The sequence below is a fragment of the Homo sapiens genome, chromosome 2 (genome assembly GCF_000001405.40).
Source record: "Homo sapiens chromosome 2, GRCh38.p14 Primary Assembly".
NCBI lineage: Eukaryota > Metazoa > Chordata > Mammalia > Primates > Hominidae > Homo > Homo sapiens.
This window is the reverse complement of record NC_000002.12, coordinates 54739047-54755881: the sequence shown is the minus strand read 5'-3', so window position 1 is coordinate 54755881 and position 16835 is coordinate 54739047. Positions and strand designations below refer to the sequence as shown.

General features: G+C 40.0%; 1 protein-coding gene and 1 long non-coding RNA gene across 10 annotated transcripts in view, besides 1 other annotated feature; one reads left to right on the top strand and one right to left on the bottom strand.

Annotated features, from left to right (window-relative positions):
- The window catches only part of EML6 (EMAP like 6), a 248474-nt gene that overhangs the window by 216144 nt on the left and 15495 nt on the right, over positions 1 to 16835 (bottom strand). The gene's annotated exons all lie outside the window — the stretch shown is intronic.
- Positions 101 to 170: an enhancer, noted in NCBI's record as "active region_15770". NCBI's record gives its function as "activates an Ori minimal core promoter by ATAC-STARR-seq in GM12878 lymphoblastoid cells {active_cell/tissue: GM12878}" and the evidence as "EXISTENCE:reporter gene assay evidence [ECO:0000049][PMID:35858748]".
- Positions 4826 to 8781, top strand: EML6-AS1 (EML6 antisense RNA 1). The gene is made up of 3 exons (NR_187225.1): positions 4826 to 5556; positions 7422 to 7522; positions 8428 to 8781. It is a non-coding gene; the product is annotated as an EML6 antisense RNA 1 (long non-coding RNA).

Genomic DNA, 16835 nt, shown 5'->3' with positions numbered 1-16835 from the left:
GCAGAACCACCCTGGGCAACATGATGAAACTCCGTCTCTACTAAAAATAGAAAAATTAGCCAGGCGTGGTTGCCTGCACCTGTAGTCCCAGCTACTCAGAGGCTGAGGTGGGAGGATCGCTTGAGCCTGGGAGGTGGAGGGTGCAGTGAGCTGAGATCACACCACTGCACTCCAGTCTGAGTAACAGAGCCAAACCCTGTCTCGAAAAAACTAAAAAATTATATTTCTATATACTAGCAAAAATAATTAGAAAATGAACATTGAAAGTATACCATCTGCAATAGCATCAAAACCCATCAAATACGTAGAGATGAACATCAAAAGATGGATAAGACTTCCTCCAGAAAATTATAAACCATTACTAAGAGAACAAAGTAGAGGGATATATCATTTTCATGGATTGGAAGACTCAATATTATAAAGATGTCAATTCTCTCCAAAGTGATTTATACAATCAATATAATCTCAATCAAAATATCAGCAGGTTTTTAATGGAAATTGACAGATCAATTCTAAAACTGATACAGAAATACAAAGGACGCAGAATACTCAAGACAACTCTGAAGAAGTACCACAAAGTCAGAGAGGTTATATTCTCAGAGTTCAAACTGCAGTAATTAAAACAGCGTGGCGTCAGTGCAAGGATGAAGACTAATGGATCAGAATGGAATCCAGAAACAGACTTATTAGGGCTGCCTGATTTATGACAAGGTTGCCACTAGTTCAATGGGTTAAAAAATGATCTTTTCAATAATAGATCTGGGTTAACTGTATATCTGTATTTAAAAAACAAATTGCTAATCATGACCATCTCATAAAATCATTTCCATTGGATCACAGACCTAAATTTTAAAGGTAAATCAATAAAGTTTCTGGAACTGTGGTATCCATTGTGGTAACCACTAGCTACATGTGACTAACTACATTTAATTTTGAATTAATTAAAATCTAATAAAATTTAAAATTTAGCTTTCACTAACCACATTTTAAGTGGCCAGTAGCCAAATGTGACTAGTGGGCTACCACTGGACAGTACAAACATAGAACATTTCTGCACTTCAGAAAGTTCTACTGGACAGTGCCGTTTTGAGAAGATTACATAGGAAAATCTTTACATAACCCTGAATTGGGGAAATATTTCATTAACAGGACCCAGACAGCACTAATCATAAAGTAAAAGATTGATAAAGATTGATAAATTGGACTTCACTAAATAAAGAATGTCTGATCATCAAAGAATACAAATGCAAGCCACAGAATGGGAGAAGATATTTGAAATATAGAATTGACAAAGTACTCATATCCAGTATATATAAATAACTCATATATATCAATAAGAAAAAGACAGGCAACCCAGTTATTTCAAATGGTCAAAAAGACCTGAAGAGGCACTTCACAAAAGAGGGTATCAAAATGGTCACTAAGCACATGAAAAGGTGCTTGTACTAGTTTCCTATTGCTGCCATAATAGGAAATTACCATGAACTTAGTGGCTTCAAACAACACAAATGTACTAACTTACAGTTCTGAAAGTCAGGTGTCCAAAATGTGTCTCAATGAACGAAAATCAAGATTTTCAAGGCTGACTAGTGGTCAGATTTTCAAGACAGGTGCAGTGGCTCCCACCTGTAATCGCAGCTAACTCAAGAGGCTGAGGCAGGAGGATTGCTTGAGGCCAGGAGTTTGAGGCCAGCTTGGGTAACGTAGCAAGATTCTGTCTCTAAAAAAAAAAAAAATTTTTTTTTTTGAGACGGAGTCTCGCTCTGTCTCCCAGACTGGAATGCAGTGGTGTGATCTCGACTCACTGCAACCTCCGCCTCCTGGGTTCAAGCAATTCTCCTGCCTCAGCCTCCCGAGTAACTGGGACTACAGGTGCAGGCTGCCACACCCGGCTAATTTTTCTATTTTTAGTAGAGACAGGGAGTCACCATGTTGGTCAGGCTGGTCTCGAACTCCTGACCTCGTGATCCACCCGCCTTGGTCTCCCAAAGTGCTGGGATTACAGGTGTGAGCCATCGCGCCCAGCCAAAAAAATTTTTTTAATTAGCCAGACATGGTGATGTGCACCTGTAGTCCCAACTACTCGGGAGGCTGAGGCCAGAGAATCACTTGAGCTTGAGGCCTGGAGTTCGAGGCTGCAGTGAGCTATGACTGTACCACTGCACTCCAGTTTGAGCCACAGAATCAGACCCAGTCTCTCAAAAAAAAAAAAAAAAAAACTCAGGACTGCATTCTTACTGGGGGCCCTAGGGAGACTGGGAGACTCTGTTCCTCTGCTTTTTCTACCTTCTAGAGGCTGCCCACATTTCTTGGCTAGCAGGTCCCTTTCATCTTCAAAGCCAGCAATGGTCAGTCGAGCCTTCCTCATAGCATCACTACTTCCATCATGGCATCTCCTTCTCTGACTCCCTGTCACTCTCACTTATAAGGACCTTTATGATTACATTGAGCCCACTGGGATAATCCAGGATAAGCTCCTCATTTTAAGATCCTTAACTTAATTACATTGATAAAGTCCCTTTTGCCATGTAATGTCACATATTCACAGGCTCCAGGGATCAGGACATCGATATATCTTTAGAGGAACATCATTGTGACTACACTAGTGCTCAATGTTATTGATGATCAGAGAAAATAAAATTAAAAACACAATGTGGTACTCCACACCAGGATAATTAAAACTGAAAAAGACATTCAATACCAAGTCTTGGCAAGAATGTGGAGAAACTAGAACTCTCATACATTAGTGGTATATAAATTGGTAAAACCATTTGGTAATATACCTATTAAGGCTAAACATGTGCATGCCCTATGATCCAGGTGTCAAAAGACATGTATAAGAATGTAGCCGGGCACCGTGACTCACGGAGTTCGAGACCAGCCTGGCCAACATGGTGAAACCCCGCCTCTACTAAAAATCCAAAAATTAGCTGGGTGTGGTGGCGGATGCCTGTGGCACCAGCTACTTGGGAGGCTGAGGCAGGAGAATCGCTTGAACCTGGGAGGCAGAGGTTGCAGTAAGCCGTGATCGTGCCACTGCACTCCAGCCTGGGTGACAAAGTAAGACTCTGTCTCAAAAAAAAGGTTTAAAAAGAAGCATTATTTATAGTAGACTCAAAGTGAAAACAACCCAAATGTCCAATAGTGAACACAATAAATTATATTTATCACTTCTTGGCCTTTTGGCTAAGAGCAAGTACAGAATAAATTATATTCACACAGTAGAATACTATACAGCAATGAAAAAGAATGAACGAATGCTATCTACTACAACATGCATGAATTTCATTGACAAATGTTGAATAATTCAGCCCCACACAAAAGAGAACATATTTTATTATTCAATTTTTATAAAGTTCAATATCAGGCAAAACATATCTACATAAGAGGAGTCAGAATAGTGGTTATCTTCAAGAGGGCATAATGACTGGGAAGTGGTAGGTGAGAGGTTCCAGGCTGCATTAATGTTCTATTTCTTGATCTGGGTAGTAGTTATATGGGTATATTAACCTTGCTAAATTTCATCATAAACACATAATTTTTATACTTTTTTATATATGTGTTATATTTCAATTAAGAAGTTCACAAAAATGTGAACAGATATTTGGGGTTCAACTATGAATAATTTTTTCCTTTCTTGTCTTATTTTTAAAATTTTGTTTAATGAGTAAATATAGGTATTATAATGGTGGAAAAAAAGTAACTTTTAAAAAACAGCAGAACTGAGATTCTGTGAGGTTCCCAACAAACCTAAGTAGAGCATGTAATTTAAACACAGTGTAATGAAAAACACTGGCACGCTAGACATGCTGAAAATGATGCCCTAAAGTGCACTCATCCTTAAGGTGGGAAAGAAGGAAGAAAGTTTTGGAAGCCTAAGTTACAAATAGAGGCTGCTGAAGTTTACCTTCAAAATAGTTAAATACACAAAATGCAAACCCTTAAAGGATTCCAGTTATCATTATGAAACCCAAAGGCCTATCACCCTTATTTCTTGAAACTGGATGATAAAAGTTTCATCCTCTTTTTGATACCCTCTAACTGCCTCAGTTTTCAGAAAGCAAATTGAAGACATTTATTAGCCAGAAGTTAACAATAAATGGCACTATATATTCAGCATAACAAACCTTGCACGGTCAACCAAGACAACTTTTAGGCTACTGTGTGCCAACATGGAATAACATGTTCTGTCTAAACTGAAAAATAAATTTTAAATATAGGCCCACAAAATAACTTCAGTGATTTTTAAAAATCTGTCTAAAGTTTGATAAGGATATGGGGGATGGAAGGTTGAGGGGACGGGGTATTACTGTGTGCTGCGGAGCATTTGTCCTTCCTTTTGTAAGCTTCTCTTCCTTTAAACTTATCCTATTTTTTTTTCTTTTTCTGGAAGCAGAAGCTCTAATTTAATCCTCTCTGTTCCCTTGTGCTTTGCATAAAATAACTAAAGTTCCTTGTGAACCTTCTGCTCAGTATTCAAAGGGAATCTTCTGTTCAGAAGCTTCCATTTTATCTATACTCCCATTAGAGTCCTCCAAGATAAGCTCATGCCCAAGCTCCTTTACATCCCCGTGTGTTTCTCAGGAACTACACTAAGGAAGTGATCCCTGTCCTCCACACCAGTAATCCAATATGCAGGTTTCATATTTGCTATTTAACATGCCCAGATGATTCTGCCCTTTGCCCAAGTAAATTGTCTTTGTCACCATAAAACATGGATCTGATTCTCAACCTAAAAAGATATTGGTGAAGGCAACCATCCCTTTCAAAGAGATAACAAGCAGGGATCTATTGTTTCCTGGACTCATCTGTTCTCTGAATGATGCGTCAAGCTCAACATCCTATTATTTTCCAGGCTTTCTTGTAACTACCACTTTGAAATACATATTGTTTTAGTAAGCTCAACATTTCTTTCCCTTTCTTCTGGTAATAACTCTTCTCCCCTTTTTAAAAAAATTGGCCCTTCCCCATCCCATGTGGCTCGGGGAGGACTGCCAATCACAATTTCTTGCACTGATCGGACAACCATGATACCCATTCTGGGCTACAGTCATATGTCTAAAATGGTCACATTACCCAGGCAAGGCCAGAGTGTCCTTCCCTGTAACTTTACAATCTGTTGCTAGGAAAGCTCCCTGTTTCCTCTGAGGTCTTGAGCTGAGAGGCTGGAAACCAGAAGCCACCCATGACCATTGGCATCAACATACTGCCTATACCCATAGGTTCAAAAAAATCGGCCAGCAGAAGGAAAGAATGAGGCCAACGACCGGAGAGAAACACAGCCAAGAGATGGAGAAAGGGAGAGTCTAAGATACTACTGACAGTCATCTGAGTCCCTGTAGGCTCTGATGTCAGCACCAATCTAGAACTTTCCAGTGGCATAAGCCACTAAATTCCTTTGTTTCCTTAGGCCAATTTGAGTTGGGTTCTGTTACCCTGAACTGAAAGTCTCTAAACACCAAAAAACTGTGGTGGTGATGCCAATAAGCTAACTGCTCACACCAGCTCTTTATGGCTTCCCAGAGGAGCAAGCAACCTAATGCTGTAGACTGGCTGGTGAGTAAGTAGCTATGAAGCCATCGGAATGGCAGAGTTCCAGCTTGGCCATTCCAGGTCTAAAGCTTGAGTCCCGTCCCAGGAGTCAAATATTATCAATCTGCATGTCACCTGAGTTCTTCCTGGGCCATATCCAAAAGCCAAATATCGGGCCCTCAGGCTGGGCAGCCAGGCCAAGGGGGTATTGTGGACAGTGCACGATGGATAGTCCTGGAGCTCACCGTGGCAGGGCCCTGCTCTGTGCCAAAGTACTTCCCTTGTTCAAGAAACAGGTGACAGGAATTGTTGCCATTGCTTTCAGCAAACATCAAGGAAAAAAATTGATCTGGACCTAGTGTCAAGCAGAAATTCTTAGAAGAGGGCTAGTTTTTTCAGTAGGGACCTCTCTGAAAGCCTCAAATGGACATACCGTGATGGGAGTTCATGTTAAATTCATGTCATTATTTTTCTTTGAAAAATATCCCTGATTCTTACCATCAGATGACAATAACTGAGTGACTAAAATATGCCAGACAATTACGTAAATTAGGCAGCTGGGGTGTGGGGTGAGAGACGCCTGGGTTTAACTCCTGTTTGACAGCTACTAGCTGGATGTTTTGGGGCAAATTACTTAAATACTCCAGGCCTCAGTTTCTTCTTCAGTAAACAGGGAATAATAGTATCTACCTCAAAAATTTTTTGTGAGCATTAAATAAGGTAATGTATGCAAAATGCTCAGCGTGCCCAGTACATAATAATAGGTAATATAAATCACATATATATGAAGTATATAATTACATATTATTAATCAATAAGGTACACATTATAAAATGTTGGTTTTATCTTCTCTCTGCATCGATAATATATATTATTGGTAGGACAACTCTATAGAAAAGACAGTATGATAAATCCCTATTTATGTTATGACAGCAATTAAACAATCACATATTAAATGATCAAGCCCAAGATATTTGAATATAAGATTATTATATTTGAATATAATGTTTATTATTTTAATAGACTATTTCTGTGAGTCTTCACATGTGTAAATGTAGGCATTTACCATGAAAGAGACCAAACAGAAAAGAAGAAACATTGTTTATTATTTTCACCCATGAATGCTTTACTTTCTTAACTTTAAAATTTCCACATTCTTTCTGTCTTTAAGAGAGTTAAAACTAATGTGATATAAGAGCAGAGGAAGCCGTCAGGAATATCATTTTCCTACATGTCCATTGGTACATCTCTTTTTGAAAGGCAATTTGTCAACATCTATCACAATACAAAGTATACACATTCCTTGACCCTGGCCATTCTACTTCTAGAAATATCTGCTACAGAAACACGCATATACTCTAGAAAGTATACATAAGGATGTGTGCTACAACAGTGTTCATAATAGTCAACAATCTAAATGTCCATCGATATGAAGGCTTAGACATAAAACCAAGATTGAACTGACAAATTAGAAGTCCAGGGATTCTGGCCAGGGACAGTGGCGCAGACCTGTAATCCCAGCATTTTAAAAGGCCAAGGTGGGAGGATTGCTTGATGCCAGGAGTTTGAGCCCAGCCTGGGCAACAAAGCAAGACCCTGTCTCTACAAAAATAAAAATAAAAAATTAGCAGAGAGTGTGGCATGCACCTGTAGTCCCAGCTACTCAGGAGGCTAGGGTGAGAGGATCATTTGAGTCCAGGAGGTTGAATCTGCAGTGAGCCATGATCCTACCACTGCACTCCAGTGTAGGCTACAGAGTGCAATCCTGTTCCCTGCCCCCCAATAAAAAGAAGTCCAGGGGTTCTTCTGGTAGCCACAATGTATGTAAACACTGGCCTCTGAGTCAATTCAAGTCAACAAAAATGTGTTGAGTGTCCTCCCTATACTAGGCCTTGTGCTGGACCAGTGATGAAGACAGCAAACAAGATACTCTGGCCCTTTAGCCTGAAGAAGAAAAACCAAAACCAGATTCCATATTCTCCCAATCCAGGTAGGATCTTAGAAGACAGCTTTTAATAACACCCATGATTTTTAGTTTATAGCTTCAACTAAGAATCATATAAAAATTATGCCCACCAAAGGTACTGGGGCAAATCTTTTCGTATGAAAAGGAAATAAAGTTTTATTGAGTCTTTCTTTGACACCATATAATCATAGTTTTGATAATTTCCTATGTTCTCTTACAGTTTATTTTTTCTGAGTTTTCTGTCAACTACTATAATTTCTTTTTGGTGTCTTGCCAGAATTAATAAACAATTTTACCCATTATAATTTTTGTAATAATCTTCACTATAAGGAACCCATTTTCCCCAGAATTACTGGAATACCTTGCACATTTTAAAGTGAAAGTTTCTAAACCTATAAATTGTAACAAAATTTAACCAAGCACAAAATTAGGATAAGTAATAATGACTCAGTTCTGTAATCCAAGTATTAATATAAAGTAAAAATCCTAGATAAATTTGTATAATGTAGTTATAAATAAAGAAGATTAAAATGAGTATACTAGTAGAAACAAGAACTGTTTAACATTTTTTCACATGTATCTCAAAGTTTTTTTCATAATTTCATATCTTAAGGATAAATAACATGGGATGAAATCAATCATGCTAATTAGTACAGTAATTTTTGCTTAGGGCCCAAATAAAATAAAACAAAGAGCCTCAAATAAGTTTACTTAAAGTTCCAATTTCCCTTACAATTACCACTTTTTATTGCCATTTTAGTCTTAAGCAAGAATTAAGTTCATTCTTTATGTGGGTTTCAGACATGCATACTAATTTTCTCCTAGCCTAGTGATAAGTAAGGTTACCAAAGAATATATAAGTTAATGAGTTTGTTTTTAGTCATTTCACAAAATGTCCCATTATTAACTCCCACTATTTTGAATTTCAGGATCTTGTCCTATAGTAGTATGTTGCCACCACCTGAACATCAGTCTAGCAGACCTTTTACCTTATTATGCAGAAAGCACACTTGGCATGAAAAGAAAGGGTATCCTCGGCTAGATTTGCTTCTGTCATGGCTGAAAAGGTGAAGTGACCCGCTCTGAAAACATGAAGCCCTTGGACTCTCAGGTCACTGCATAGGGTGTTCTAATTAGAAAAACAAGTGTAGCATTTTACCCACCAACACAGTGGTGACATTTGGTGAAGTTCTAAAAATCTTTAATTATTACTTACACTTTACATATTTACCAAAATGTTATGTATCTCCTTGATATTTAATAAAATCACTTTTAAAATCCTATAGTTAAGATTCCTGTGAACACAAGGGAAAAGGTCAAATGAAGATTTGAATGAGCACAGGCTGTAGAAAATACACAGCGCTCATACTGCAGTCTCTTTGAAGTGCATACAGTGCCAGAGAAAGTAAGTTAGACATTCAGTAATTGACATTCAGTAAAAAACACTCCTGGGATATCTACTGAGTGACTGCTTCCTTGATGTGGCATCTATGGCCAATCACTGATCACTCGTGGCACAGTACTGCTCTAACATTTCCATTGATTTATTGCTGGAAATTTGATTTTTTATTTTTGTGTGGTACCCAGAAAGAAAAAGCTAGCTGCTGAATTAGCTTTTGAGATTCAAAGGAGAATTAGATGAAACTAGGACACGTATGGAATTAAATACCTATAAACAGATCAATCGTTTTCTAGCTATAAAACAAAAAAGTCGCTTAAAGAGAAAAAAAGATGCTATAACTCAGAAAAAAACTAAGTCCTGAATTCTGTAAAATTTGCACCTATAAATCAGTCTTCGCAGTGTGACATACTATAAGGATTAGTAACAACAACAACACTCTTTTCTTTTTCTCTCTTCTTTATATTTTTATTTTTGACAAAGCCCTTAAACAGAATGTTGTATATATCTTGAAATTTCAGGAATAATTAACCACCATAAAAACAAACGAAATCACAAGCCTGTACCCAAGGAAAACAATAAATAGATTTTCAAACCTCTGACTTGTTGCTCCATCAAAGCAGATATGTCCTCTTGATTAAGGATCATTTTGAGAAAAAGAGACACAGTCGATGGTCAACCTGCACCTTCATTCAGTATTCCCTACTGAAACAGATGGCATCTTGGGCATGTTGAATCTCCCAGAATAGGTGCCTATTAGCAAGACAACTCTTAAATCTTCCAGATACCAGGAAATGCCTTGCCCTAATTAGGCTACACTTTCCCATTGCCTCCACATTTTCATTCTTACTCATTGTTCTAGCAATTTGGATTCTGCCCCATACCATTGGAATGAAATTGTTCTTCCCTTAACCTCTTTTGAGTCTCAATCCTGGTCCATCTTTTTGCACAGCTCCACAGTTGACCCCACCTCCACTTCCTCCACCACCAGCTCCAGCAAAACACATGCAGAGTCTTTCGCTCCTCCCTTGGCTTACAATTTGGTTTACAATTTTGCTCCTCCCTTGGTTTACAATCCTAAACCTCTCCAATTCTTCCTGGCTACTCTGCTCCTGCTCAGGCCCCTTCATGCTTCTTCTCCTCTCCTCAGTAGTTAAAGGGAAGGATGTACCCCATGGTTTTATCTTAAGCTCTTTTTATTTTTGAGATAGGGTCTTGCTCTGTCACCCAGGCTGGAGTGTGGTGGAGTGAATATGGTTCACTGCAGCCACAATTTCCTGGGCTCAAGCAATACTCTCTCCTCAGCCTCCCAAGCAGCTGTGACCACAGAGGTGCACCACCACACCTGGCTAATTTTATTTTTATTTTTTTGTAGAGGCGGAGTCTTGCCATGTTACCCAGGCTCATCTCGAACTCTTGGGCTTGAGCGATCCTACCCTCTCAGCCTTCCAAAGTGCTGAGATTACAGATATTGACCACCAGACTTGGCCTGTCTTAAGGTCTTGTGCCTTTTCATTTCACATGCATTTCACCTCACCCATATGTTAACCTCCATCAGTATCTCCTGGCAGGCACTCAGTCAGTGTCTGTGACATGAGTCTCACCTTTATCCATCTGGCTACCTTTCATAGAAGGCACTATCCCATCTGGATCTCCATCCAACCACCTTCCTGAAGATCAGACCTGCAGTCAAGACTGCCAACCTGTTCCCTCCTTGGGAAGTTACCCTTAAAAGAATAGTCTGTCCCAAGATTAACCACTTCTAAACTGAATTCAGTGTTCTGTAATACCTCTCTGCTTCACCAAACCTGGTCCTTCTCATCTACCCTGGAGTCAATAGCAGGACAGTCTTCCTAGACCTCATACCCGGAGAATCCTTCCTGCCTTAAAGACTCGCCTCCAGCATCCCTTCTCTTGTAAAGACTCCCCCAAACCAGTGTGCAGGCAGGCAGGCCCTCTTCTCCGCACCCCACAATGCCTTCTTTCCCTCACTCCCTCACTGGGAAGGCCTGCATGGCAGGGTGTGTGTGTGTGTGTGTGTGTGTGTGTGTGTGTGTGTGTGTGTGTGTGTGTGTGTGTACGTGTGTGTGTTGTGTTATACACATGCATTCCCATCCTTCTAGTTGCACCTAATACAGTGGTGACTGACACCTGAATAGGCAAGGTCTCTTCTGTGCACTTCTAATGTCCATAGTTAAATTTTCAATAGGCACCTCAAACTCAGCATGTCTGAAATAGGCCCCCATCCTCCCACCCCAGAACCCAATCCTCCTCCTCGGTCCCTCTCTCCCCTAACTGACCCACAACTTCCTAGTCATCTAATGCATTTGCTCCTCCCTCTCCCACTTCCTCATCCCATGAATGCCCCCTTTGCCTCTCCACTGTCTCCCTCCTGCTCCCCCTGCTCTGCGTTCCAGAGGTCATTCCTTCACACTGGCCTCCCTGACTCTGCACACCCCACTCCCCTGTCCATGCTACTTTTTTATAAGTCCGTATGTCTAAAATCCAGATCCAGTCACAGTCACTAACATCTTTCAAAGCTTCCATGGCTCACCTCCGCATTTGGATTTTTATCCAGTCCAAATGTGAAATCACCTACATGTTCCTGCAAATTTATCCCTCGGGGTCACTTTGCCACCCAAGGACATTCCCATGGGTTTACATCCCTTCCTCTGGCCCCTTAGGCACTCAGCCAGCTCTTGTTTTCTTCTAGGCTACCACCATTATGGGTCCTTCCTTTCCCCACAAAAGACTGCTAACATAAAGCAATCTCTTTAGCTCAGAAGGCCGCCTGTCTCACAGCTGCATTTCTAAGTGTGCTACATTATTATTTTCTAGATTCCCCCCACCCCCCACAACTCTCCTCTGGCCCAACTACCATTGTTCAATGTAAATGCCCAGAATTGTCCAATGCATTGTCTTCATCCTAACTGTGACCTCAACCTGCAATGCTTTCCCCCACCCAGTGTGCCAGCTAACTTCCTAACATCCTCCTAGAGGCCACCCAAATGCCATCTCTTCCAGAATGGGTTCTTCCAAAACCCCACTAGTCAAATTTACCTTCCTTCCTCTATTCTCTAGTTCAGGGGTTTTCAAAGATATGTGCAAGATGATTTGGGGGAGTATAGTAAGAAATTTATATGTAAATTGCATTCACATATAAATTTAATGTAAATGTCATATGTGTTTTATAATATAATGTTAGCACAATAATACAAGTATATAACATAAATATATAAAAAAACAAATATTCCTATAGTGGGAGTTGCACAAGAGTATTTTACCAAGAGAGGTATACAATCAAAAAAAGTTTAGAGACTACAACTCTAGCTTAACATTTTTCACTATGGGCTTCTTATTTAAGGTAATTTTGGCTCTGTCTCTCCTGGTTTATGAGTTCCCATGTAATAGAAAGAACATGGCTTTGGAGTCAGAAATAGGTTCAAAGTTGGGTCTGTTGGTTACTAGCCATGTAACTATACCTCTGAATTCTCTTCAGGATTACAGGGAAAAATGCATATATATAAAATACGTCTTTGAAAATAATAGATATATACAGCAGGTCCTTGAATAACATTGTCTTGTTACAACATTGATGAGAAAAAATATCAATTCCTGGCCAGGGCCACTGTCATTTGGAGTTCGCACGATCTCCCCACGTCTGCGAGGGTTTTCTCCAGGTGCTCTGCTTTCCTCCCACATTCCAAAGATGTGCATGTTCAGTGAACTGGTGTGTCTCCATGAGTGCTACATGAGTGCAACTGTGTATGTGCGTGCACCCTGCGACGTGACTGCGTCCTGTCCAGGGCTGGTTCCCACCTTGTACCCTGAGCTGCGGGGATAGGCTCCAGCCACCCGGGACCCTGAACTGAATAAACAAGTAAATCATTATCTTACTAGTTTTTATTAACTTTTCTTAAACATCTAGATAGCTCCCATTTACTTTAATGTTTAATATGATAAGCATTTTGGTCTTTAGTTAGGTTAGTGATTTTCCTGTGGCCAGAAATATGCGTAGGAATTTAACTCTTTATATCAATCGGCTGATGGTAAAATTGGTTTGTTGTACATTGTTTTGTTTAAAGTCACAGTTTCCAAAGACCTATCAATGATGAAATTCAGTGAGGACTTACGTGTGAAAAAACTTACTCAGGGCCTAGAGTGAGGTTTCTTTCTCTTTTATGTCATTCTTCAACTCACTTTGCAAAGCTCCTTATATGCTTTACTGAATTGAATTCTCAATAACAATCTACCAGTGTGTCTAGAGGAAGAAGCTGAGGCTGGCTGTGTAACAACTAAGAAGTGGTAGAATCAGATTCAAACCTAGGTGTGACTGGCACTGAAGCCCTAGCTTTTTCCACCACATAAAGAGCCTCCGGGACACAGAGGGGCCAGTCGCCTGCATAACTGGGGTGGAGAGACACACAAATGGAAAGTCATAGCAGAATTGAGACGTGTTTAAGAGACGGAGAAAATGCTACAGTGGCAAGGAGGAAACAGACATTAGTTCTGCCCCCATGAAATCAGGGAGGGCTTCACAGAGATGGTGACACTGTAGTTGTCTCTTGGCTTATATGAATCTGCCACAAATTCAGATTCCAGAGACCTGGAAGGCACTTTCAGCAGCAAGGCTGTGGGCAGTAACATGGAGACACATATACCCTTTGACTTACTGCAAGGAGTATGGGTGATGGGACCAAAGGTAGGAAAGTCGGGGAAACAGAGCTGTGGCAAGAGATAATGGCAAAAAGGTGGGGGTAGGGTCGCATTCCAGAAGCAATAGAGTTGGCCGGAGTTTTTAAGCAAGGCAGAGACAGATCAGATCTGTGCCACAGAACACTAATTCCAGTGCTAGCATAGAGCAGAAATTCTGGAGACTAAAACCACTTGAGGAATCTTTTTTTCTTTTAATGGTGTGGTTTGTCCCATTGTTATGAATGTTAATTTGAATTTAGTTATGGTGGGTTGCCAGGTTTCTCCACTGTACTTATTGTTTGTCCTTTGTAAATATTAACTATCTGGTGGTGGAGGACAATGTAAAATCACGTTTCTCAACAAAACTTCATCACTAGTTATAGCATCCATTGGTTTTCTAACTCCATCATTCCAGCTATATTTAATACTTGGCTTTCTATACAAGGAAGAGCTTTGCCTTCTCCCCATTGAGTTATTTATATCACTATGGATGCAAGGATTTTTATTTTATTCTACAGATTATAATTCATGCTCAAATTATCCCAGATGTCGCCAATGGAAGTCCCTTCAAGCTGGCTCTCATGTCATTTTAATATCTCCCCTTATTCTTTAAGCACTGCTATATTTTCTAGCACAAGAAGATATTCCAGATGTATCTTGTGCTTTCACTGCCCCAGGCCTAGAATCAGCTTTTTCTCCAAGGAGTTCTGTTCTTTTTTGTGGAGAACAGTCTTTAGAAACTGAATTCTTGGTGCTAGTCATGTTTCTGGTGCTGATGTGTCACTGCTTTCTTAGTAATCTTAACAGAAAGAGCAAGGAAGTGTGTGTGTGTGTGCGTGTGTACTTATTTATATACACCTATATATATATTTCTATGGCAACTTTTTAAATGCAGATTTTGGGGCCTCACACCTATACCTACTGAATCAGAATCCTTAGGAGTGGGCTCATTAAATCTGAATTTTTTTGTTTAAGTTCACCAGGTTCTTGAGCAGAGGATGGGCTAGGGGAGTAACCATCAAAGCCAGGAGGCCAGTTAGTACTCTATTGTAACCATCCACACAAAACCAGGGATGTGGACCAGGGCAGAAGCAGTAAGATAGAGAGGCCAAGATCAGCTGCACTTGGGGCTCTCTGGACAATAAGAATGAGGAGGGAAGGAGTATCCAGGCACTCAGTGGTTCCTGCCTGGATCGCTGTGATCGTGTGGCCTGCACTGTCATTTACAGAGTAAGCACTGAACACGTTTGTTTAACTTAAGTAGCTTCTCATTTTTCTCCCATAGATTATAAAAAAATCCAAGTTGTTGACATTCTGGGAAGAAAATAATTATAAATTTATAGAATTTATATCTCTTCTATTACATTTTTATCATATGGACTAGAAACTGAATTTCACTCAAGGCAAGAAAGATGACCTGCAAAGTCATTATCAGTAGGCCAACCCCTCACATACACAAACAGGGCCAGTCAAAGTGAATGTGTTCATATCTACTCTGCAGAAAAATAGGCCTGCAAGTCTTTTTACCAAGAAGCAACATCTGTAACAATATCTCTTATTGTCCCAAGAAAAAAAAAAAGAGCTAGAGTCTGCTAGAGATAGAAGTCATTAAGCTGAAAGGACTGCCTACTACCACTGCAGCATAAAACTCACTAGAGCATGAGGAAAATATATAAAGCAGATGTAAGAAGAAAAGTAAACCTGAAAGGAAATGACCCTTGGACATTCGTATTGCTATAACAGAAAGCTTAAAACCCAGATGAAAGTACAATCCAGAGAAAAATCATCATTCCCAGTGTTTATGTAGTAAAAGCAATTCATCAATGACCTCTTATTGCTAAATCCACTGGGCCGTTTTCCAGACTCACCTTCTTCTACTCTGCTGAGTCTGCTGAGCATCTTCTTGACACTCTCTCTGTTCTTGGTTTCAAGGGCATTCTACTTCCCTGGTTTGCCTCCTACCCCTGTGACCATTCCCATCTTTCATAAGTACCCCTTTATCTGCTGGTTTCTAAAAAGTTGATCTTTCTCAAAGTCCTGACCCTGGGATCTTTTCTTTCCTCCCTACCTTCTCTGGGTATCTCACCCACTCCTACACATACACTGAAACTCTCACAGCTCTCTCCTGAGCAAGGGCCCATATAAATGTATAACCACCTCTTGGATGTCTCACAGACACCTCAATCTAAATATGTTCAAAGCTGAACTCATCTCCCCTGACCCTGAAGCTGCTCCTCATTCTGTTTCAGTGAATGGTCATCACCATTCAACCAGCTGACTAAGTCAGAAACTTGACCACTACGTTACACCTACCTGCCTTCTTTCTACCCTACTCCCAATGCCCTCTCCCATATCCAATCCATCACCAGGAATCAAGAGTCTCCAGAACGTATTCATAGTTCTCTTTGCATTCTACCACAATTACTTCACACCTGGATTACTTCAAGTGCTTGCAGACTTGTTTCCTCCAATCCATTATCCACACTGTAGCCAGAGTGACAGGTATACAGCCTAAATCTAATGATGCCCCTTCTTCCAGAAAGCCTTCCCTAACCACCAACCGCCTCCCATGAATGGGCTAGGAGTATGTCCTGAGGCTCTCACACACTTTGGGTAACTAACCATATCTGGCTGTGCATATGTGGACTCCTGCCCTCGTGACTGCAAGTTCATTGAGAGGAGATGTGTGCTGTGTGCTGTGTGCTGCTGGGTCCCCAGCGCCTCACACAGGGTATGACACACAGGAGGCACTCAAGAAATCTTTGTTGTAAGTCATTTTCCTTAAGGGTTTCTTAACCTGGGGGTCCATGTACCCTTTTATAGATTTCAGGAGGTTGATGAACTTAGATTAAAAATTATACCTTCATTTTCACTAACTTGTAACACACTAAGATTTCCTATCATTCAAAAGGTAATCAACAAACCATAGAAGTGTTAGCAGCACCTGCGACCTTGTGACTGGTAAAACACAGAATTTTCATATCACATTACATTTGTTGCAGATATCTCAAACATCAGGTATATTCATCCCTACTTTTAAATCATAGTAATTATAAGAACTACTAAAACTTTTAATTGTATGTGTTAATAAAGAAGCACATATAACATATACCTACATATTAAAACTATTTTTATAACCATATTTCAAAAGAATTTCCTATAGAATATATGTATATATTTTACTTTATACATGAGAAAACACTATTCTGTGATGGTGGAAGTATAAATCGACACAACCACTTT